The sequence below is a fragment of the Homo sapiens genome, chromosome 9 (assembly GCF_000001405.40).
Source record: "Homo sapiens chromosome 9, GRCh38.p14 Primary Assembly".
Taxonomy (NCBI): domain Eukaryota; kingdom Metazoa; phylum Chordata; class Mammalia; order Primates; family Hominidae; genus Homo; species Homo sapiens.
Genome location: NC_000009.12, coordinates 20,695,436 through 20,721,563, shown reverse-complemented (window position 1 = coordinate 20,721,563; position 26,128 = coordinate 20,695,436). Strand labels below are relative to the sequence as shown.

Genomic DNA, 26,128 nt, shown 5'->3' with positions numbered 1-26,128 from the left:
CGCCCAGCTAATTTTTGTATTTTTAGTAGAGACACAGTCTCATCATGTTGGCCAGGCTGGTCTCGAACTCCTGACGTCAGGTGATCCGCCCGCCTCAGCCTCCCAAAGTGCTAGGATTACAGGCGTGACCCACTGCATCCAGCATCTTTCCACAAATTGATAATTACAGCTGTACTCCATCTCCACTGAAGGCAGGGAAAAAAATTAAGTACTCAGCCCGATGATACTATAATAAAGGTGAGTGAAAAACACTGGAAAAACAAGTAGCTTCACCAAGGAGGAGGGAGGCTTGGTGAGAGGTGAGGGAAGGGGGCAAAAGCCCAAATGATTTGAAGTAGTCAAAAATTAGGACATATAGATCAAGACAATTTCTTGAAGCAAAGAGTGACAACTCTTTTTCAGGGAGTATTTTATAACAGAGGCTCACTGGTTCAAACATGGTCCTGTTTGACCATTTCTGAATGGAACCCTCTTATTCCTTATTGTCCTATTACCTCAGTCTGTAAATGGACGAAATATGGTCATACCAAACAAATTCAAAGAACAAAACATTATTAACTTTGAAAAATCAGGGGGAAGACATCCCTAAATCACAAAATATTTGAGAAATAAATGCCATTATTTTCTAATACACTAATGCCAAGGCCTGGCCAAGTAATGCCACTACAATGTATAAACTATACCACTGTGGAAGAAGCATTGCTTATGGACAACCTTCTTTCTTAAAATGTCAGGAATCTGCATTACATTTTTGAATTATAAACTGTTTAGCTATTTTCTTCTTAAAAAGGGCAACGACAAATTTAAGTAGAGCCCCAAAACTTAAGTACCGCAAATGACCACAAATTCTGAAACTATAGGGTTTAAATTAGCATGATATTTTCATATATGAAACAGCAACTCATGACATTTTAAGAGCAAGAAAAACAACTGGCAAGTAGGATGAATGCTGACTCTTAATAGTGATTTAGTGAATTTTTTTCCTAAAAACTTAAATCATTAACTGACCAAACACTGAGGAAAAAGTACCTGGTTGATGGAATCAAGTTGAGTATCCCATTGAGAACATAGCTGAACTCTGCATGATCCTGAGCAACGAGTGCCACCAGACCTTCACAGCAGGCTGTTCGAACCACTACATTGTCACTGCAACACTTCTCCCACAGCAAGTTCAAAGCAGGAGTCTGAAACCAAACCAGTGATTAGAAGACAATTCTGATGAGCAGCAAACACACACACACACACCTTTGGTCATTCATCAATGAGTAATTTGTTCACAGTAGGCTAGCTTTCCTTTATAAAGATGATGCTGTTGTCACTCTGTTCCTAGAATAAAATGAAGTCAATTTTCCAAGAGAGGTAATGGATGTGTTTTGATACAGCAACTCTCTCTCACCTGGTATCATGGCTATAAAACAAGGCTGGCTGCAGGCAGAGGTATGACCCGAGTTCAAGCAACACAACAAAGCTAAAACTTGGCTCTAGCACATTGCTCTAACCAAACAATTTAACCAGACACTAATAGTATATCAGCTAGCCTGAGTTGAACTCCAAATACTATTTATGCCATAAGCCTTCAATGACAATAACAGTTATTTTCAGAAGATGTTCCTTCTCTCCTACTACCAACCTCTATCACCTACATGCACCTTACCACCACCCACAATGCCCTTGCCACAATTTCTTGAAGTCTAACGTGGGCCCAGATATAAAGAGAGAAGTAGGACAGGCCACCAGCAAGCTGCTCAGTCCATGGCTACCAAAAAAAAAAAAAAAAAAAAAAAAGCCTAGGAAAACTGTTTGCCCAAGAAAGAAACTGTGACTTTCCCCCTCTCACACTGTGACTCTGTCTTCACTGATAGAAGAGCATGAGAAGGACATATAAGTAAATATAAGTTTTCATTTTAGAATACCCTATCAAAGCAGGGGTTCTAGCTTTTATAACTTTCTCAGGAATCCAGGACCACCAAAATGGTTCACTACTAACAATAAACCTATATGACTATATTGCAGATAAAGTCCATTTAGACTTACACACAGTTGTATTATAAAAAAAAAAGAACAAATAATGAAGCAATTTTTCCTTTTTCCTGATGCAACTTATTAGGGAAATATATAATTTGGGAAAAATTAATATCCCGGCTCCCAAAGAATAACTATTAATAAAAGAATGAAAATCAAGGCCAGGCACTGTGGCTCATGCCTGTAATCCCAACACTTTGGGAGGCCAAGGCGGGTGGATCAACTGAGGTCAGAAGTTCGAGACCAGCCTGGCCAACATGGTGAAACCCAGTCTCTACTAAAAATACAAAAAACTGGCTGGGTGTGGTGGCACACACCTGTAGTCCCAGCTACTCGGGAGGCTGAGATATGAGAACTGCTTGAACCCAGGAGGCAGAAGTTGCAGTGAGCTGAGATCACACCACTGCACTCCAGGCTGGGCGACAGAGCCAGACTCTGTCTCAAAAAAAAAAGAAAAGAAAATCAACATCATTTTGTACCCACTTTCCCTCTGTAGCTGGCTAAGAATCTTTTCTATCTTAGCATCCCACTATTAAAATAACAATACAGTTAACAATCACTACAGGAAGGAAATATTTATATTCCACTTCTCCTTTTATTCATAAGGACATTGTGTTCAGCTGTACTGACAATATCAAAAGGTTCTAAATGTCATCACTCTATTATTACACCGGAAAAACAAAACAAACAAATAAATAAACTGCTGCCTCAGGTAAGACTGTGTAAGCATTCATTTTTAGTAGAAGAGGAAACAGTTACAGGGATTTGACATTCAATAAATCCTGGCAGTTTAAGTAAAATCACTAGATCTTCTCAAAGTACACAATGTGATTATAGGCAGGATTAGGATCAGAGTTTTCAGAAAACCTAATTTATATGACTACATACAAACACCAGAAAAATGCCAATTAGTGAAGTGTGTCCTACACTTACTTCAACATGTCTGCAGAAGCAATAAAGAAATGTAACTTGGAGCAGCTAATCAAAAAGAATGTGAGACAAAGGAAATCAATTTATTTCTGCTGTGAAAAAAAAGAATCTTATTTCCATCACTTATGTTCCCTATAGAGGACACCTGAGAACACCTCTCTTAAAAGAAGAGTTTCCCAACTAGCAGGTCAAAACACACAACACTGATCAACCAAACCCCAAGTGTATCTCAGTAAGCTGGCATTGCTTCAACTCTGAGCATTCACCTGCTATTTGTGTAAGATGGAATTTTTCAGCTTTGACTGTCAATGTATGACCTTTCCAACTAAGAACTCACAGCTGGGGCTGAGCTGAAGCATGAGAAATCTACATCCAAACAGAGCCACTCTGTTCATTCTCTTCATTACCAAAATAATTCCCTCAGAGGTAACTCTATCAATCTTCTCTAAAGCATGCTTTCTCTCATTCCACCCATATTATTTTTCATTAATAGTCATAAGAATACTCCTCTCCAGCCCTTCCCTCCATGTCTCATTCCTAGAGGGTTTTAATAAATTTAAAACTTTTTTATTGCTATATATTAAAAAGGCAAACAAATAAACAAAAAAGGCAATGAAGTTCTCACAGTTCAAAAGCATTTCTACTGTGATCTGAACTATCAGGGAAACAAGACAGGTGCATATGTGATCCAGCTAGTAGCAATCTTATCTGAAGAGAATTAAAGCATAAAGTTAAACACAGACCTGATTTGTAGATTGGTGAATCTTTTCTGAAAAACCATTTTCCTTTAGGACTGCAGCAATAAGATGACCCACAGCCTTAAAAAGAAATAAAATTAATGAACACAGTCCCTTAGAAGTTCTTTCCAAATATCAATACTAGTTGATATGAGTATGCCAGGCAGTCAATTAGGATTAAGTAAAATTCCCATTAACTAAGTGTGTGCTATGTAGAAGGCATTGAATTAGGCACTCCACATGCACAATTTCTAATCTTCAGAATAGCCCTCAAGGTAGGCATATCTATCCCAGGTTACCAATAAGCAACTATAGTGCATAGAGGTTAAGAAAACTGCCAGATTTTTGGTTCAAATTGCTGTCAGTATCAGAAGATAACTTGAGATTGCTTACTCCATTAAAACATGAATGAGAAAGCCCATAGTTTTTAAAATCATCTTTGCACTGAAACGAAATCCACCATGCTTCATCACACTGTTAACGAATATGAAGAATATGTCTTAGAGCCAATAGGCTAGCAACAATCATTGCCATTCTGTGTACGGGTTGGAAACTACTTCACTATTGCTACAACTGTCCATCCTGCACTTGGGACCAAATTACGGTATAGCTGTGAATAACTGTCAGTCCTGCAAAGTCTCCAGAACAGCTCAAATAAAAACACAGCACCCACTCCTTCCTCATTTTTCTCTTTGTATTTCACACATTGGAACTGATTTAAGACCGTGGTGCTTGTGGTCTAGTTTTGTGATATAAGTCACTCATTTACATGAATATTAAGTTTAGTCCAACTTACTGTCTCTTATCTCCTAGTAAAAGGAATAGTAATAAGAACTGAGCACCCATGGATAGGTTGAGCTCCTGTTTTACAAAACATACCATATTTCATTGAATGGAACTGACCAGGAATTGCAAGTTGCACCATTATACTGTGTGCCACTAAGAAAGAAAAAAGGCTGCCAATTAGTCTATGATATACAGTGCTTCTTATAAGTCGGAATTTTGGTTTTATAGTCACACAAGAGTTCTTTTAGACTCGTGTAGAAAATCATGCCCAAGTTCACAAATGTGCAGGCAATACCAACTGTATCTCAACTGCTGCCATCAATTACTAGAGGCAATCCAATTTCAAAGATGTTAAAATCTGAAAAAAAACGTGTGTGAATCAAAGAAATATGGTGCTAACATCGAGCAGTGGTTACAGAAGAACAATAAGAAATATTTGCAAAGGACAGGACACAATCACAAGAACCTAATAAAACTAATATGAAACACAATAGGGACAAAGAAAAAGCTATAGTTCATATCTAGAAAAAGAAATAAAAGAAGAGAAGCTTAATTCCCCATTCCCCACCAGGTTGAATTTATCTAATATACTTTTCACTTCATCTTCTAACAAATCAGAGATACTAGCCTAAACTGATTTTTTAAAATACAAAACCCAAGGATAAATCAGCCTACATTGCTACTTAAGTGTTCTATAACAGAATTCAAATAGCCATCCTACACTAAACAATATAAATATATATATATATTTTTTTCACCTAATTTAACAGTAACACGTATGGGCATTTCTTGATTATCTATGTTAACAAAGAGACTCCAGGCACAGAAAAATAAAACTGTGAATAGTATCCTCCAAGCCTTCATCTTCTTCTTCATGGTAAGGACCTGCAGGATATGACTCCAACCCAGCCAGGTAGAAGGGAATCTTGCATAAGGAGTGTTCTACTCCTCATGGAAGGGTTCCCCACTACCCAGCTAAGTCAATTCCCACAGCAGACATCTCCGAAGTTAATTGTTGAAAGTATCCAAGGTGCTGTATGTTGTTAAGTCTTCAAGATGGCTTCTGCTGGTCTGTTAGCTTTACTCTCACAAGAAAAGACAATAAGCTATTATGATACCTTGATTAACCAGAATGTTTCTAGTTAGCTAAAGGCTACCCAGAAAGCCATCTTTGTTTTAACTATTTAATTATTGAAAAGCTCTTTAAAGTTATCACAATCTTCTATCTTAGTAGATATATCAAATTTTCTAATCCAGGATATTTTACTTATTAAATATCATTATTATAAAAATCTATATAAGGGGTAGGATATGTCTTCTTAAATATTAATCCCTCATACTCTTCAGACATATAACTGTTTACCTCTGTTCCCAATAATCATAGGCCAAAAAAAACCAAACAAACATATTCAGGGGCCTACTAGTTAATCAAGGTTTTATTATCTCTAGGAAGAAAAGTATGATATATAAACAGAAGCTGAGATTGATCAATTTCAAATATTTGCTTTCCATGTCAAATATATATTTTCAAATTAAATGTATATTTAAAGTTGTTTCACAAAATATAAATCTCTACATGTAGAATAAAATATTTAATATTAAATATATAAAGTTCAGTTAAAAATCCACAGAACAGGTTTATTTGTTACCATGAGCAAAAATAAACAAACAAAATTACCTGTGATTGGATAAGAGAATTTGGAAATTCAAACCTTTTCCTGATATCATCTGACATTTTTGCTTCTCTTACATGTATGTGTGCAGCTTCTGTAACCAAAACAAAAGAATATTTGTTAGTCTTCCAACTGGTCTGAATTGGGGCTCCAATTAATTATTCCTCAAATAATGTGAATGTAATCCATTCCAAAGATAACAATGGAAATAAAGCACAGGGCTCTGCAGAGTAATCCTTGGCAAAACTTCATTGTCATCCAGCACTCAAATGTCATGATTGATAAATAAACTAAAAATGCCCAACAGCTCTTGGTTTTTCCCATGAGAGCTAATCCTGAAAAAGATGAATTTGCACTACGGAAATGAAAAAAACATCCAAAAGTTCAACCACACATTTGAAATAGAAATTAATTCTTTTGTGGATCAAAACTTATAAGGGAGAAAGAGTCAAACGGTCATAAAATTACTTCATCTATGCCTCACTTTGGCACAAGCTTTCATCTAAGCACTAATCCAACTGCTAGTGACAAGTGTGAAGCCTAGGTGAACTTTTTTCAAGAAGTATAGAAAAGACCTAGAAGTTCACACATTAAAACAGACTGTTTCCTAAAGGAGGAACAAGCAAACAATTAGCACCAACTTTTAATATTTATATCTCACTTATCATTCCTACTGGGCTCACAAGAAAAGAAAAGTGAAAGAGAGAAAGAGAGAGGAAGGAAGGAAGGAAGGAAGGAAGGAAGGAAGGAAGGAAGGAAGGAAGGAAGGAAGGAAGGAAGGCAGGCAGGCAGGCAGGCAGGCAGGCAGGCAAGCATGCAAAAGGATGGGGAAGGCAGGTGGTAAAGCAGGACCATGGAACTAATAAGAGGATTTCCTAAGGATCCCAATTTATCCCATTTCCATGAAGCACTGAACCTACCAATTACATTATTTTGAAAAACAGGGCCCTCTAGGTCACCTACTTTTACAATATAATTAAAATTAAAATTTATGTCAATAAACAGCCCTAGATTAACTTATAACAAGCAGAAAAACCAAGTTCCCTTGATCTCAAAAAACAAAGCATATTGTAATGAACTAGCAGCCTTTTCTAACTGCAGGTTGAGCAACCCTAATCTGAAAATACAAAATTCAAAATGTTACAAAATCTGAAACTTTTTGAGCACTGACGTGACACTCAAAGGAAATGCTCATTGGAGCACTTTGGATTTTCAGATTGGATTTTCAACCGGTTTAAAGTATATGCAAATAGTCCAAAAAAAAATTTTTTTTTTAAATCCAAATCCAAAACACTTCTGGTCCCGAGCATTTCAGATAAAGAATACTCAATCTGTACTTTCCACCCTTTTATCCAAAGCTAAACTCCCTGAATGGGTAATTTATCCTGGTATTTTTCTTCGACATCTATGTCCAACTTTCCTCCCCGAATTTGACATTCCACAACACTAAAACAACTTGTTCTAAGATTGCAAACTATTTTCCTATCTAAATCTACTTTATTAGCTTAAGCAGGTCAAAAATTTTTAACTTCCCAATTGTGTCAATCACAACTTTCTTGTAGTTTTCTCCTCCTTTGAATTCCATAATACTCACAACAGAGTCTCCTAAAGTGTGTCCCTGGGAAACACAGGAAAAAAATATCTCCATGGGTGAAAGAAAGATTCTATGCGGACATATATTCCTATCTTGAAATTCATTCACTCATTTAACAAATACTTATTAGTTGCCTATTGTGTGTCCAGCACAGTTCTAGGTGCTTGAGTTATATCAGTGAACAAAATAGGCAAAAAATCTCTGCATTTATGGAGCTTACAGTCTAGTAGAAAGCAGCAGATAATTTTTTAAACAAATAATACATAAAATATGTTAGAAGATGGTAAGTGCTAATTAAAAAAAAGTGAAGCAGAATAAAGGAGATGAGAAATGGGAGAAGTGCACACTTTCCATTTTAAATATGGTAGTCCAGGTCAGTCTCTTCTAGAGAGGGTGGCATGTGAACAGACTTAAAGGAGGAAAGGAAGTTAGATTAGCCAAACAGATATCTAGGCGGAAGAGTGTCACAGGCACAGGAAAAAGCCCTAAGCTAATAAATTGCTTAAGCCCTGTCTTAGGAAGAATAAAGAGATGTGCATACAGCAGAGTGAAGGAGGAAAAGAATGGTAAATCAGGTCAAAGGATCAATGAGAAGCCAGGTCATAAAAGGCCTTGTAGGCCACTACAGGGACTGACACACTTATCCTGAGTGAAATGGAAAGCTACTGCACAAAGAGGCAGTAGGATTTCAATAGAATCACTTGGGGTACCAAGTGGTCACATTCTGGATATATTTGAAGGGAAAGCCAATGTGGCTGCTAATGGATTGGATAAGAGCACAGAAGAAAGGGCCAGGCATGGTAGCTCACACCTGTAATCCCAGCACTTTGGGAGGCTGAGGCAGGCAGATCACCTGAAGTCAGGAGTTCGAGACTAGCCTGGCCAACATGGCGAAACCCTGTCTCTACTAAAAATACAAAAATTAGCCAGATGTGGTGGTGTGCACCTATAATCCCAGTTACTCAGGAGGCTGGGATAGGAGAATCACTTGAACCCGGGAGGTGGAGGTTGCAATAAGCCGAGGTTGTGCCACTGCACTCCAGGCTGGGTGACTGAGTGAGATTCTGTCAAAAAAAAAAAAAAAAAAAAAAGAATATAGGAGAAAGGAGTCAAGGATGACTCCAAGGTTTTTAATCTGAGCAACTTTTTTTTTCTTTTTTGTGAGACAGAGTCTCACTCTGTCACCCAGGCTGGAGTGCAGTGGTGCGATCTCAGCTCACTAACCTCCGCCTCCCAGGTTCAAGCAATTCTCCTGCCTCAGCCTCCCGAGTAGCTGGGATTACAGGCACCCACCACCACTGGGCTCAGCTAATTTTTGTATTTTTAGTAGAGACAGGTTTCACCATGTTGGCCAGGCTAGTCTCGAACTCCTGACCTCAAGTGATCCGCCCGCCTCGGCCTCCCAAAGTGCTAGGATTACAGGCGTGAGCCACCATGCCCAGCTTGAGCAACTTTATTTTTTATCTCAATTCCTTTGGCCATTTTACACATGGAACAATATAATTTCTATGTTACTTCTTACCACGGCGTTTTTTTACTAAAAAGAAAAGATAGAGCTGCCATCACCTGACATGGGGAACCAAGTTTTGTGAGGAAGACAAAGAATTCCATTTTGGACAGTTAAGTTTTAGATGCCTCACAGGTATCCCAAGGGGAAATGTCTCGTAGAAAGTCGAATACAGGAATCTAAACTTGGAGGGAGAGATCGTAGTGGAGATATAAATAATGTTGCATATTATTAAAGAACATAAGAGGGTCTAATACAAGAAGTCTATTTAACTTTGCTTAACCCAGAATTTATCAAATCTATCTGGCCATGCAACAATGGAAATACCTGCTAACCATCTATACTATCAGTCTGTCCTGGGATACACACTGGGAAACACTGTTTTACTGACTCCTCCTGTTCCTCTGTCCACTCTGCTCCTCGAGTGCTATCTTCCCTCCTGGAGGCACTCCCCAGCCACTCTGCCTTGTGCTGTTGTCCCTCCATACAAACTCTCCCACAGCTATCAGTCGTCATCTGGCACAGATCTCCAAACGCTTCCATACTTTCTCTTAGGAGGCTCTAAAACACCAGAAATTAGGGACATCAAAAACAAAACACATATTTCCTTTCAAAAAACTGTCACTTCAGTTCATTTTACCCCAGTTATCCTCTCACAATTTCGTTCACCACCACTCTCTAAATCCAGTCAGCCACAAAATCGGCTTCCTTCTTTCCAGCACCTCAGAGGTTACTATTCCTCTTCATTCTACACTCATCATCTTAGTTCCTCATGGCAGGCTTACTCCAGTAACTGCTTAGTCTTGGGGCTCTCCATGCTGAGTTAGTACACTGCTGTCAGATTAGCTGTACTGAAATGCTGTTCCCATCATATCATTTCCCTGTGAAATTTTCATAGCGGGTTTTCAATTGTTTGTTGGATTAAATGCAAATCCTGATGCCTAGCTTTTATGCCTTCCTATCAACAGTCTTACCCATTCAACTTCATTTTCACTGCTGTAATTCTAATCTAGCTAAAACAGTTTCCAAAATGGTCCCACATGTTCAAAATCTGCTCAATCCTACAGGATTTCATTTCTTCTCTCCCACATAAAATGTCTCCTATATGCTTCCACTGCTTAAATATTAAACTCCTTTCATAGCACATCTCTGTTAAGCCTCTTCCAACTAGCTACATCTAACAGTAATCATATTGCTTTATATTCAGTGTTACTGCATTTTGGTCTGAGGCACATGTAACTATTTGTATCAGGACTAGAAATCTTTTTTCTGTAAAGGGCCAGAGAGCAACTACTCAAGTCTGCCATTGTAGCATGAAAGCAATAGGCAATACATAAATAAATGACTATAGCTGTGTTCTGATCAAACTTTATTTACAAAAAGAAGTGGGTGGCCCATAGTTTGCTAACTCCCAGTACATAAAACTATTTTTAAATTAATTTACAAAATTTCTTGACATAATTCCTACAATTAACATTCAAATTTGGCCCTGTGCTCCCAGGCAGCTAGGGTAAATAAACAAAATAAATGATACCTCTTTTATAATCTAAAAGGTAAGAAAATATCCTTTATCAAAGAAAACAAACATTTTTGTGACCTTAAACTCTGAAGGAAATTTCTTACATTGGGCTTTATAAATGGAATATAGAGTGATATAATATGCAATATTCTCAATAACAAAAGCAAAAGGAAATGTTATATTATTATTTTTTTTTTTTGAGACAGAGTTACGCTTTTGTTGCCCAGGCTAGAGTGAAATGGCGTGATACCAGCTCACTGCAGCCTCCACCTCTGGGTTCAAGCAATTCTCCTGCCTCAGCCTCCAGAGTAGCTGGGATTACAGGTGCCCGCCACCACGCCTGGCTAATTTTTTGTATTTTTAGTAGAGGAGGGGTTTCACCATGTTGGCGAGGCTGGTCTCAAAATCCTGACCTCAGGTGATCTGCCCATCTCGGCCTCCCAAAGTGCTGCGATTACAGGTGTGAGCCACCGTGCCCAGTAATATTACTTTTTAAGCAAACCCTGGATAAAGCCACAGGCAAAATGTAACATGTTATTCAGCAAAAAAAAAAAAAAAAAAAAAAATCTCAGCTACTGGGATCCAAGTACAGAGTTTTCTGATGATCTAATCTAACTCAACAGAAGGCTGACTTTACAGTATCCACAGAAGCAGGTAAGATTATTGATATGTCACAGAATATAATTACTCAAATATCAATGGTGATAGAACTATACAGAAGAAGATGTGGGGCTATGCACTCTGATCCAGGCCCAGAATGCTGTAATTCCAGTATGTCTTTGGGGACCAGGTGAGCAGCTGGGTAGGCTAATAGCTTATTATAGAAGTGAAGAAGCTGAGCCATCCAAAAAGATGACCTTGTTTTCAGGAGGTGGGCCACTGTGGAAAAACAGTGTTGTTTTTATCTAAATTACCTAAGTACAGATGACAAATACCAAAGATTACAAAAGACAGCCCTAATTTCAGTGTGACACCTCAGAGAATGAATATGTTTTTTAAATCTATAGTAACTTTACCTTTCCTAACAAATGGCCATTAAGCATTCTCAAAACCACTACCCAAGCTGCAATATGACTTTACATCATTCTTGATTTGCTATCACTGGGCTACAAATTGCAAGTGTCTTTCATTTGCTGAAGACTTATATTTCAAGGTTAATCACAAACATTGGCCTTTTCTAGGTATAAAACATCATATCCTCTTAGGGAATTTCAAAAAACAGTACACATGGTCACTTTAGCATTGGCAAGTGTAGTACGTGTCCTACTTTTTTTTTTTTTTTTTTTTTTAAGAGACAGAGACGGTTTCACTTTGTCACCCAGTCTGGAGAGCAGTCTACGTTATTTTCAAACTCAATTTCCTTTGGGTATTTTATACATTAAGGAAAAACAATTTATATATTACTTCTTGTCATGCCATTTTACTAAAAGGAAACCAGTAACAATATAATCCATAAACCACATGCTACAAAAATGCATGTTTGATTTTCAAAGATTTATCTCCAACCTTTCAATATGCCTTTTTTGTCTGTCTAAACCTAAATCAGAAAGAGAATTTTTAATGAAGTCTTTAAGTTCCCAGTGAATCAAAACAGTTGTTTAATATAAGCAATTATCACATTATCTGCCAAGGTAGTTCAGCCCCTAAGAATACTTCCAAGAAAATTAATCTATCAATTGCACTAATAAAAGAGCAGTAGATAAAACACTTTGGGTTTTCAACTTTCTCAATAGTTTCTCTAGGATATTGTACAACTATGTATCACACAAAAGTACTTAATGTCAAACCTCAAATAAAGGACACAATCTTAAAAGCAAGAGGAAATCTAACAATTATGAAAACCCAGCAGAGACAATAACTGATATACAAGGTAGTTGGAGGAGGAGGGTCCAATGATGACGAAGACAGACATTTGACTTTGAGCACTCTTGACTACCAAATTTCTATATAGGAACGGCTCAAGGGCAGTCATATGGCTGAAACTCAGGGCTAAACAGAATTTTTTTTTTTTTCCTTAAGAGACAGGGTCTCTCACTCTGTCACTCAAGCTGGAGTACAGTGACACAATCATAGGTCACTGCAGCCTCAAACTCCAGGGCTCAAGTGATCCGCCCATCCTCAGCCTTCCAAGTAGCTGGGACTACAGGCATGCACCACCGTGCCTGGCTAAAGTTTTTTTAAAATTTTTTGTAGCAACGGGGACTCCCTCTGTTCCTCGGGCTGGTCTCAAACTCCTGGGCTCAAGTGATCCTCCCACCCTCAGCCTCCCAAAGCACTGGGATTACTACAGGTGTGAGCCACCACATCCAGCCCAGAGTACATTCTTAAAGCTAGTTTACAGGAGCAGTATCATCAGCACACTGATAAAATGGCTGATAAAAAAATAAGTACTTCATTCACATTAATGGGCTCTATGTTTTAGAGACACAAAATCCAGGACTTTTCTTTTTCTAACATTTTATTAACTATTCCAATTATCAGTTATGGAATTTACTTAGTTTCTTCCTCCCACAAATTAAGCTATGGAACCATCAGCCTAAAACCATACTTTTAAACAAATATTTTGACAATTTTTATCTTTTTTCTTACTTGTTGTGGATGGCTTATAGAAAAGCTGATGGGCACTATCAATAAATTTTGAGCTGATTTTATAAATTTATCAAGACTATGGCTCAAGGGTGGATTCTAGAGTCACCAACTGACTGACCCTGTCCCTCAAAAAAGAGGGGGAAAATTCTGCCTATACTTTTCAAATGCCCACCTTGTTGTACTGTCTAATATGGATCTCTTTCTCATTCTTCTGCTGCTTAGCTTCTCATCTACTGCTTCCCAGTCCCTAAGTATTTCCATGTACCCTCTCTAAGATCAGGCAGCTCGATTGTTTCATCACCTTGTATGAAATCCTGACACCTGCTCACACTTAGCCTCAGCTCTTGCTTCAAAGGCTTAAAAAATCCAACTGCCACCAACACTCCCAAAATAACAGGACAAGATAATTGGAACCCTTTTAACCACAGTTGACCCTTGAGAAAAGGTCCACTTATACGTGGCTTTTCTTCTACCTCTGGCACCCCTGAGACAGCAAGACCAACCTCCCCTTTTCTTCCTCCTCCTCACCCTACTCAACACGAAGGTGAAGATGAAGACCTTTATGACGATCCACTTCCACTTAATGAAAAGTTCTCTTCTTTATGATTTTCTTAATTTCTTTTCTCTAGCTTTCTTTGTTGTAAGAACACAGTATATATAATACATAAAATGTGTACGAATCAACTGTTTATAATATCCATAAGACTATTGGTAGTTAAGTTCTTGGGGAGTAAAAAGTTACATACAGGTTTCTGACTGCATGAGGGATTGGCACCCCAAGACCCCAAATTGTTCAAGGGTCAACTGTATATGATTCATAAAAATTCATAAAAATTGAAAGTTTTCAACAATAAAGAGCAGGTGTAAGAAAACAGTAATTTTTAGTTATTATATTCTCAGAGAGACCATTAAGACACATTAAAATTAAACCCAGAGTAGAAAATACTTTTATCTTAGCCAATAATTTCAAAATCAAGCTGAAGTAGATAGCAACTCAGTGGTGTGACAGAGCCACTTGGTCAATATTATAATCAGAGAAAGCAGCAACCATATGATGTGGAAGAGACTGCTATTTATCCACCAATATCTGTTCTCTTCTTTTGTATTAACAAAACTGTAACCTGAACAACTTCATTACATTTCCCAGCCTCAAATATGGTACAGTAAGAATATGTGATCAAGTTCTCTCCAGTGGTGTTTGAGCAAAAGTGACATGCCATTTCCAGGCTGGGGTCTGCTTCCTCCACTCTCTCTTCGGAACCAGAGTGAATTCTGGGCAACAGCCTAGACACAACCACGCACATGAAGACAATGGCCCTGGGACTCTGTTGAAGAAACAAAATGGGAAGAACGTGGATCCCTAAATGATAGCTTGCTGCACGGCTACATACCTGGAACTCCAACTATTACAGGAAAAACTTCTACACTGTTTGAACCATTTCATTTTGGGGTCTCCTTGTTGCAATATCTAGCACTTCCTTAACTAATATAATGGACCTAACATCATCTCCCTCCCTACATATTTTCACTAGAGAAATGAAGAAACAATGTCAGAGAGGTTAAAGCAACTTGCCAAAAAGGAAAGTCATCATGACAGAGTTCAAGTGAGAACAGAGGTTTCTTGACTTCCAACCAAGTGTTCTTTCCACTGGACCATCGGTAACATGAGGCATGACCTGCACAATTCCATATCACTGCATCGTATCCAGGAATTTTAAGATCAATAATTCAAGTACTGAGAAAATTTACATGACTATGAGTTCAGATGATCTCACTGGCTGCCATTTAATAAAAGTACAATGAATTCTATCAAATTCCTGCCTTTACAATTTAGTTCCTTCTCAATATCACATGCTACTTACAGATTTTGAAATGGGAGCCTAAAATAAGATCAAAGGCAGGAAATTCCAAGTCAGAACTGATTGCTGTCCAGGAAAACAGGCATTAAAATAAAAAATAAAACTACAAACTTGGCCAGGCACGGTGGCTCATACCTGTAATCCCAAGACTTTGGGAGGTCAAGACAAGAGGATCACTTGAGCCCAAGAGTTTGAGACCAGCCTGGGCAACATAAGGAGACTCCATCTCTACAAAAAGTTTAAAAATTAGCCGGGTATGGTGGCTCATGCCCGTAGAAACAGCTACTTGGGAGGCTGAGGTGGGAAGATCACTTGAGTCCAGTAGATCAAGGCTCCAGAGAGCCAGGATTGTGCCACTGTATTCCAGCCTGGGTGACAGAACCAGCCACTGTTTAAAAAAAAAAAAAAAAAAAAAAAAAAAAACTTAAAACTGAATAATGCCTAACTAGTTACAAATTTTCTCTAATTATTCTGTGTTTTAACTTGTGGCATATGGATATGTATATGCTAAATATATGAGTATATCAATGAAAAATAGTTATTTTTTAAAATCTAAGGGCTTATGAATCTCTAGAATTTTTTCAGCATCCAATCTAAATCTTCAAAGTTGACTTTTTTTTTTCCAATATTATAATTTTTAAGTATTTTTCCTTCACCAAAACAATTACATATATTGCCCAGTACAAAACATTTTCTAAATAAAGACTTCATGTTCATATAAAATATTTACAGTATATTTAAAATAAAACTGATACCTAATTATTTTAAATGTGTTATTGGCCAATAAATGATCGCAAAATCTCCACATTCACAATCTTACTTCAAATACCATTCAGTTAACTAAATTAGTAAAACATCACAGAATGGATACTTTAGATATTTTGCTTGTATTTTCTCCCCTTAAAAATGACTCAAATTTTGAATACTCACTCTCTAAAATAACCTACCTAATTCTTAGCAGATATTAATATGGTACAAAGTATACACAGTGTAAGGATGTAATATTTGGGATTTTCTATAAAATACCCAAGTATTGAAAGAAAAATAAAAGAAGACTGATAGATGAAACAGGAATGTCTAAATGTTAATAATAGGTACACTGGAATTCATAATACTAGTCTCTATTTTTATGTTTGAAATTCTCCATAATAAAAGGTCTTTTAAAACCCATGTATGTGGCTCTTACTAGGGGAAAGGCAATATTCTAAGCATTTTACATGTATTAACTCATTCAACCCCCACAGTAACCCGGAGATAGTTACTCATTTTACAGATTAAGACACTGAGGCAAAGAAAATTTAGATAACTTTCCCAAGGTCACAGAGTAAGTGACAGAACTGGAATTCCAACCTAAGTAGTCTCGCTCCAGAGTATATATGCACAAAGAAAAGCCCGGAATGTACCAATTGTGGATAATTTTTATTTTTGCTCATTCCCAGTTTCTAATTGTTCTATGAGAATATGTGTTTTGTAATTTTAATAAAGTTACCAAAATAGGAAAATCTTGACTAACATTATAATACATTTTGTAGAAATAGAGGATATAACTTTCTGACACCCAAATCACTGAAAGCGTAGAAATCCATCACTAAAGGGTGTCATAAAGTGAGCAGCAATTTAGTAGAAAAATTGTTGATAAAATGATGAAAGATTACTTTGTTACTTATGTTTACCAACGCTTTATGAAAAGAGTAATATTGAAAAGGGGCCAATGTAATTCAGCCAGATAGATTAAGTTTAAACCACTTAAAAGCTTTCTTCCTTCATTTTCAAGGAGAAAAATAACTATTATAATTTCCCCAAGTAGACTGCTAGGAAATCTTCCTCCAAAATAAAATTCTTACTCTGGAAAAGAACTATATAGACTGATTACAAGTTTATTGGCAACATTTTTGATTGTTGCAAAGTGACCAATCAAGCTCATTTGGTATTTTTCATAAAAACTAAATTACTAAATTCATGTAGAATGGAATAGATATGGTTTAGCTATTTTAATTTGCATACTGAGTGCTAATGAAAGCTGAAGACCAAATGAACAAAAAAATTTTACAACAAGATAGTAAATTTCTCTATTTTCAACAAAGTCAATGTGCATACACGAAAATGGACATGGAGAGTATCTCTGTATTTGAGTCCTTAATGGTTACAAGGACAAAAACAAAGTTATCGCAGTACTGTTAGAAGAACCACAGTGAAAATGTTCAAATGAATAAGATCAATGGTGCACTGTGAAGCAATGACATATATGCTTTTGCAAACTCTAAGATTGTCCACAGAGAAGAATAACACCTTAATCTGATTAAGCTCACAGTCTTACCTACCTCTATCATCATGATAACAGAGCAACCTGACACAGACAGCAAAGCTCTGAGGTGCTTTGGGGAGCCCCCTTTGGGGGCTAAAGGGAGGAGGGAACCATAGACCTGGATGCAAATCCTGATTCCAGCACTAGGCAAATCACTTACCATCTTGGAACCTGTTTCCTCATTGGTTAAACAAGGTCTTGTGCATAACAATATAAAGTACGCCTTAAAGCCAAGAGAGTCTTGCACATAGCAGGCACTGTAGAAATGTGTGCTTCCTCCCTCCCTCAATACCATGTGGGACAGTCAAGGAAGGTGAATGATGGAAAAGAATTTGAATTTAAGTGATAAGGAATCTCTCATCAAGTGAGCAGTAATGAAGTAGAAAAATTGTTTTAATGATAAAAGATAAATTACTTATATGCAAAGATGGGATCTTGTATGCAAGTCACTAGAGAGAAATAAGACACCAGCCCCAAGGTTAGAATATACATAAGATTCCCATTTAAAATATAGTTAATGCAGCACTATTCACAATAGCAAAGACATGGAATAAAATACAGTTGACTTTTAACTCATATGCTGAAAACTTTTCAATGGCTCCCCACTGCAACTCTATAGGAAGGCCAAAAGGTTCTGGTCTTGCAACTCTCCTTCAGTCAGGGCACTTCAGCCACATTGGCCTTCAGTTTCTTCCTTAAACCACCCCGACAACCACACCCTCAGCTCCTTCGACATCTGGGTCTAGAACTCTCAGGCCCCTCAGCCTCAAGTGCTCTTGACTTGTTCAATTGTTCAAATAAGCTGTTTCTTCTCTCCCTTCACATGTTCCCTCGAACCTTCCCTATCCCCCCACCACCCCCATAGCCTCAAATAGTCCCCTACTTGCCACTGCAGTGACCCACTATTGTACCATTCATAGCTTTTATCACAATCTCAAATGATTGTCATTTACTTATTTCTGCTTCCCTACTCCACCCCCACCTCCCCAAATGCAAACTCTTTAAGGCAGGGACCGTTTTGTTTTGTTTTTTTTGTGAGATGGAGTCTTGCTCAGTTGCCCAGGCTGGAATGCAGTGGCACGATCTCAGCTCTTACCACTATCTCCCCAGCATATAACAAATACCTATTCAATAAAGATTAACTGAATAAATGCAAAGCATAACATAGAATTTGGAATACCATATTGGATTAAACATCTCCTATGTGCTAAGCACTCCACAAGACACTTTAACTAATTCCACGAGATCCTCACAACAACTTTGAGGTAAATATTAACTCCATTTCCCACAGGAGGAAATAGGAGCTCAGGGAAGAAGTCACTTGCCTGAGGTTATACAGTGGTATTAACAGCCAGGATTTATTGAGAATTTTACCATGTGCCAGGCAGGTACTGTCAAAGCTTTTTATACGTATTCTCTCACTCGATATTCAAAACAACCTCATGACATAAGTACTACTATTAACTTTATCTTCATATGAAAAACCAAGTGAGGAAAGGAGAGGTCAAAATTAATTGCCTAATTATGTAAGAAGCAAAAGCATGAATATAAACAGTCTGCCTCCAGATCTCACATGCTTAACCACTCTTTAATAAAGTATAGATACAGTTGACTTAAAGTTTTTGTAAAACTAAGATCATCAAGCAGCCGGTGGCTCATGCCTGTAATCCCAGCACTTTGGGAGGCTGAGGCGGGAGGATCACTAGAGGCCAGGGGTTCGAAATCAACCTAGGCAACATAGTGATACCCCATCTCTACAAAAAATTTTAAAAATTAGCTGGGCATGGTGGTACATGCCTTTAGTCCTAGCTACCCAGGAGGCTGCAGTGGGAGGACCATTTGAGCACTGGAGATTAAGGCTACAGTGAGCTATTATCATGCCACTGCACTCCAGCCTGGGCAACAGAACAATGCCCTATAGCTAATAATAATAATAATAATAACAATAACAATAATAAAGTTAAAAAACTAAAGCTAAATTAAGATAATCCATTAAAGCATTTTGCTCAGAGCCATGAACATAGCAAACGGTTTTTAAATGTTATTATTCTGAGTCTGAATCTAATACCTTGTTTTTTCCATTATATTTTGCTGCATCTCAGGAAATCAAATAAATCTTTAAATGAATTACCTGGGTTTGCACATACGTGTTAAATCAAATTCCCAAAGCAGCTTATCAGCATATGCAAACAGCTTTGTATCTTTGTATATACTGCAATCCTAAAAAGGTAATCAAGTCTAATGCGCAAACATTACATATTAAAGGATTACTCCTTGCCCAGAGCACAAAACATAAAAATTGTTTATCTAAACTTAACTTTCATCCTTGTGGCACCATCACCAGCAATACATCTCCCACATCTGTATATGTTCTTTGGTTATATGCCTTTATTTCATCATTGACTGTTCAGTTTAAGTTCAATGAGTAGGTAACAAAGGATAACAATTGGCCACTTCCATCACGACAATTGTCAATCTGTAGTAAATCTATACTTCTTGTCACTGATATCAACACTTTCACATCTACATTTTCTGTTTTTTTAAATAAGTAAATAATCACTAAAATTAATTAAAGCAATTATATACCCAAATGATTGCTTAAACACTACACACACACAGATGGCAATGCCACTGCAAATGAGTACTTAGCTGGCAGGAAACCTCACCATGTGACAGGTGAAAACACAGCTCAATGAGACAGGGAAATTTGTGTGTGCATGAGTTCACTTGTAAAAACAGGGCTTGAAATAATATTGGAACGCTCAGGAAGAAATGTCCAGAAGCAGGAAGATCAAAAGGAAGCCAATGCATGTTCTTTCTCAGTTCCTGCAGCTGCCTCAGAAAACAGGGCTTGAACTAAAACTTGGCATCACATTCCAGGCAGAGGGAATATGAGGATATGGTTTGAGAGGACAAAGTGGAGAGCTAAGATCAGTCTCTAATGTCCCTTCCAGCTCTGAGAGGGTTATAATCACTCCTCAAGACATTCTTGTCTCATTCTGAAGGGCCTAGTTTCCATCTATATAGCAGCTGCACCTGCTCAGATGCCAGTAAAGAAGAATCAGAAGTGGGAAGGGTCCCCACTGACCAAGCCTGCTGCATTATTACCCTGGACATTTGGATTTCTTAAGAGAAGCAGCTTCTTGTTCACCCCCTTCAGGGTCTGGCATGGAATAAGCAGTTAATAAATGTTTGCTGAATTATTGTGTTTAGCACAGTACCTAACAGTCTCAAAAATGTTAGAATCAGGATTCCACTGTTTATTTTGTTTTCAGATAAACTTTCCAAAACAGAAACTAAGAAATAGAGAGGAATCTATATCTTTTTCATTAATTAAGACTCATGAAACAAAGACCAAAATAAATAACAGCCAGAAGTAGAAAAATAAATGTTTAAACAACTTTATGTCCAAATTAATACAGTAACTTGAATTTAGTAACCAACACATTTAGGAATTGATGATAATTCTTTTTAGACACATCCTAAACTCCCAGTTTTTTTTTTTTTTAACTAGGCGAATCATTTTTGTGTAGATAGTGCAAAGGTGAACTTCAGCCAAATTCAAATCCAAAATCAGCAGAATCTACACCAGTAAAATTTCATTATGCTGTCATAAATTTTGGTACATTTTCTTTAAAAAAAAAAATCAAAGAACACATGTAAAAGCTAACAAGACTGTTTCTTCACTGTTTCCAGCTGAATCTAATAGAGATGGAAAATGGGTCTTTGTTACTTTAATACAACATAAGTTTTACATGAATGCTTCCATTGACAGCTATTATTTATCATAGCTATGTGCTTAATCTGCTATTTATTACAATCCTTTAAAAACCCACAGTATCACCTCTGTGTATTTCCCATTGGGGTAAAAGGAATTTTAAATAATTTCTTTAAAAAAAAAAGGAACATTTACTAATCTTCTATTATACAGCTAGCATTACTCATGGCTGTTTTTACTTATAGGGTACTAAATAATCAGATATTAGTTAACGTTTGCAATCATCCTGGGCAGGAGTTCATTAGTAAATCATTTCATATTAGCGTGGAAATATCAAGCAGCATATTCAAGAATCAGAAGAGGATCTTGGGGTGAAATGCTGACATCCAATTGACAGAGTACAGTATGTAGGATGTCTTTCAGATAAAGTTAGTTTAAGAATTTTATTTAAACAAACATGGAGGAGGAGGAGAACGAAGAAGGGGTTAAGATGTAATATGTAGCTCTTCATATATATATATATATATATATATATATATATATATATATATTTTTTTTTTTTTTTTTTTTTTTTTTTTTTTTTTTTTGAGACGGAGTCTTGCTCTGTAGCCCAGGGTGGAGAGCAGTGGCACGATCTCGGCTCACTGCAAGCTCCGCCTCCTGGGTTCATGCCATTCTCCTGCCTCAGCCTCCTGAGTAGCTGGGACTACAGGCGCCCGCCACCATGCCCAGTGTATCTGTATTTTTAGTAGAGACAGGGTTTCACTGTGTTAGCCAGGATGGTCTCAATCTCCCAACCTCCTGATCCACCCACCTGGGCCTCCCAAAGTGCTGGGATTACAGGCATGAGCTACTGCGCCCAGGTGCTCTTCATGATTTTTTTAATTTCACAAATGTTAAAACTAGTATATATGATTTTCATACATACAGGCCTAAGGGAACTTTTCAACACTCTGTTTTAAGTAAATGACCAACTAGATGAACAGCAACAGCCACTCCAAAGACCAGCAACTTACAATAAAGCCAATCTTCAAAAGAGTTTCATTTCACCCTCAAAGACTACTTCTGCCTTTCAGCCCAAATTCAAACACTATCTAAGAAATTGCTCCCAATCTGGCTTACTTCCAAACTGATAGAAAGGTTATCAAAGATCAGATCAGCTCAGGAACAAGCCACACAAATAAGGTAGAACCAGTATGATTCCCAGAACCACAAAAGTCTCCCCAAGTCCCACCTACCATACCTAATTTCATAGGGAACTTTAGCACCATGAAGCTGAAAGTCTGAGGTAAGCCAAAAACTAAATCATTCTGTGGTGGGCAGTCTGGGTACCACTTCCTGAGCATTTGATCTTACTATCTGACACTTCTTGGCTATATCCCAAAGTGTGGCATACATCCTTCAAGTTCTATTCAGCTCCCATTTTAAAAGTGAGTTAAGAATTAAAAAGGTTTAAAATCAAGCACACTTTTTGCAAAAGTATTAATGGACAAATCTAAAAGATAAACTAAGGACTATGCAGATAAAATATTGATCAGTAATTGAAAATAACATTTGTAAAGAGTTTTAATAATGTAAAGAAAAGTTTACAATAAAAAACACTTGAGAAATTTTTGCATACAACCATGAACACAACAAAGTTTAAAACATAAGCCGGGCGCAGTGGCTCACACCTGTAATCCCAACACTTTGGGAGGCTGATTTCAAGTCCAGCCTGGGCAACATAGTGAGACCTCATCTCTACAAAAAATAAAAAATTAGCCAGGCACAGTGGCGTGTCCCTGTGGTCTCAGTTACTCAGGAGGCTGAGGTGGGAGGACTGTTTGAGCCCAGGAGGTCGAGACTGCAGTGAGCCAAAGATTGCAGCACTACACTCCAGCCTGGGTCATAGAGCAAGACTCTATCTCAAAAATAAAAATAAATACACATATATGTGTGTGTGTGTGCGTGTGTGTGTGTATACACATATAGTATATATAATGTGTGCATGTGAGTAATATAGAGAGAAATATAGAATTAAAAAAACAAATAGGCAAAAATGTTGATAGGGTTATTTCTGAACAGGATGATGGATGATTATGTAACCTACTGTATTCCGCCTTTGCTACTTTTAATTTTGTTCTTACAATGGGGCATACATTACTTATTTTAAATTACAAAGAAATTAATTCTCCTCAAATAAAAAAATAAAATGTTTAATTGCAATTTTAAAAAAAGTGATCTTATTTATTCACTTGAAACCATGGTTTTTTATCATTCTCTAAAGAGGTGGTTTCACCACAGCACACGCCAAGGCAAAAAAAGTCTCACTTGATCCAATTATACCACTTATTAAGAACTATTTAATGCGAAAGTCACACCTTTGAGTTATTAGAAGCTATAATGGTCCTGCAGAGTTCCAAACAAGTAAGCTAACAGAATTACCTTTGATTCTAAATTGTTTGCCAGGAGATTAATCCATCTGCACCTGAGAAAAACATCAAGTGTTCCTCCACTGTGTTCAACATCCTCCAGTCTCATTTTAATCAAGTATGTTAGCTTCAGTCTAGAGGGCATTTTTAATTGCTTGAACTACAGTATAAGTAGTTTTTAATTTTCCAAATTCAAACACAACATAATACCAAGAAAATCAAAATTTTAGTCATCAATAGGTAAATTTTAGAGAGGTCTTTAAACGTTTTGGCATCTGCCGAAGAATAAAAAAAGCTCTTTCTGATAGTGACATTTGAACAGACACCTGAAGGAAGTAATGTGCAGTCCAAACAGAAGGAATAACCTTGAGATGGAAGCATGTTTGGCAAGTTTAGGAAAGACCAAGGACACCAGTGTTGGCTAGTGCAAGTCAGCAAGTTAGGCAGTGAGAGATTACAGAATGAAGCAGAAACCCAGATCATGTAAGCCTCTACAGGGTGCTGGGAGTCTTTGGATGTTTCTCAGTGAGATGGGAAGTCCTACAGGGTTTGGGAAAGAGGAATGGCATATATGACTGACATTTTAAAAAGATCATTGTGGCTTCTAGGAAGAATAGAGACCATAAGAGGGCAAGGATAGAAAAAAAGAAAAAGAGACGGACCAGTTAGGTTACATCAATAATCCAGGAGATAAATCATATTGCTTTGGACAAGGATAACAGCAGTAGAGATAGTGGGAAGAGGTCAGACTTAGGACATGTTTATTTTTTTCCAGATTTATTGAGGTATAATTGATGTCTTAGTCTGTTTTTGGCTGCTAAACAGAATATCTGAGATTGGGAATATTTTATAAAGAACAGAAACCTATTGGCTCACAGTTCTGGAAGCCAGGAAGTCTAATATCAAGGTGTCAACATCCGTGGAGGGTCTTTGTGCCACATCATCACATGGTGGAAGTGCAAAGAGACAGAGGGCAGGAGAGGACCGACTTTTACATTGGCACCAATCTCACCCTTGAGGGTAGCACCCTCATGACAATCACCTCTTAACAATTCCACCTCTTAATACGGTTACGATGGCAATTAATTATTATTATTATTATTATTATTATAAGATAGAGTCTTGCTGTCACCCAGGCTGGAGTGCAGTGGCATGATCTCAATTCACTACAACCTACATCTCCTGGGCACAAGCAATCTTCTCACCTCAGCCTCCAAAGTAGCTGGAAGTACAGGCTTGCGCCACCATGCCCAGCTAATTTTTGTATTTTCTAGTAGAGAGGAGGTTTTGCCATGTTGCCCAGGCTGGTCTCAAACTCCTGGGCTCAAGCCATCCACCTGTCTCGGCCTCCCAAAGTGCTGGGATTACAGGCATGAACCACAGCACCTGGCCAATGGCAATTAAATTTAAACATGAATTTTGAGAGGGACAAGCATTCAAACCATAGCAATTGACAAATAAAAACTGTATATATTTAGGGTACAAAATCAGATGTTTTGATATATGTATACAGTGTGAAATGATTTCCACAATCAAACATATCACCTCATCTTGTTACCATTGTGTGTGTGTGTGTCTGTATGGTGAGAACACTTGAAATCTACTCTCTTAGTAAATTTCAACTATACAATACATTATCATTAAGTATAGTCACCATGTTATATATACATTAGGTCTCCATTTGGTCAAAGGATACATGCCTGCAGTTACAAGTATTTCAGAAATATTTGGTAAGATTTGCTAATGGATTAGACATGAAATGTGGGAAGAGTGAAGGATGACTCCAAAGTTTGGGGTTCAGATAACTGAAAGAACAAAGCAGTCATACACTAAGATGCAGAAGTCGAAATCATTTATCCATTTCTAAAACAATGCAGCAATGCATGAGTCTCCTAAATTCTTGGAAGCTCAATTTACTTTTGTCCATATCAGCTAAAAAAAGCTATATGATAAAAGGATGCCACATGCAGACTGTATAAGCTTCATTTGCTTCTCAATTTTATTTGGGGCCAATCTTGACTATACACAACAAATGTTAAAATGTGTGTGCTTAGCTGCAGATTGGATTTATATTCAATTCATACCTAATACCAATGCTGCAGTCAACACCTGCCCAGGTCCTATCCAATTTCCAATCCCTGTAAGGCCTCAGTAGCCCTCTAAGCCATACTTATCCCACATAGCTTTTAAAATATTATAAACTGAAACCAGTAAGATACAGAGAAGGAGAGGAGACAGGTAAGTTAGTAGGTAGATGGGTGGATAATCCTTACTTCCCTACCTCGCCTTCCTTTGTTGTCCATTCCATTTCATATCTCTTTACAAGCTTTATGTCAAATGTTCAACATGTACTGAAGACTGTGTACGTGTATAAATGTAGGATGAGGGGACAGGGAAAAAACTGATTGTATTGTAAAAAGAAACGTGAGGAAAGAAAAAATGAAAGCATGTTTACGGGCTTAAGAAAAATCTTTACCA

At 37.4% G+C, this 26,128-nt stretch overlaps 1 protein-coding gene and 1 non-coding gene across 18 annotated transcripts in view; both read right to left on the bottom strand.

Annotated features, from left to right (window-relative positions):
- FOCAD (focadhesin) overlaps positions 1–26,128 on the bottom strand; it is a 340,326-nt gene that overhangs the window by 274,387 nt on the left and 39,811 nt on the right. For 13 of the 17 annotated variants that reach the window (XM_047423537.1, XM_047423539.1, NM_017794.5 and 10 more), the window contains 3 exons: positions 6,154–6,242; positions 3,696–3,770; positions 1,030–1,184 (listed from right to left, as the gene is read on the bottom strand). In XM_047423537.1, coding sequence (XP_047279493.1) covers positions 1,030–1,184; positions 3,696–3,770; positions 6,154–6,210 — 287 coding nt within the window. In that variant the 5' untranslated portion in view covers positions 6,211–6,242. Of the gene's footprint in view, positions 1–1,029; positions 1,185–3,695; positions 3,771–4,082; positions 4,164–6,153; positions 6,243–26,128 lie in introns of all 17 variants that reach the window. The other 4 variants (XM_017014855.2, XM_017014852.2, XM_047423531.1 and 1 more) reach the window with 1 other exon arrangement.
- On the bottom strand, positions 5,376–5,459 carry MIR491 (microRNA 491). The gene has a single exon (NR_030166.1). It is a non-coding gene; the product is annotated as a microRNA 491 (primary transcript).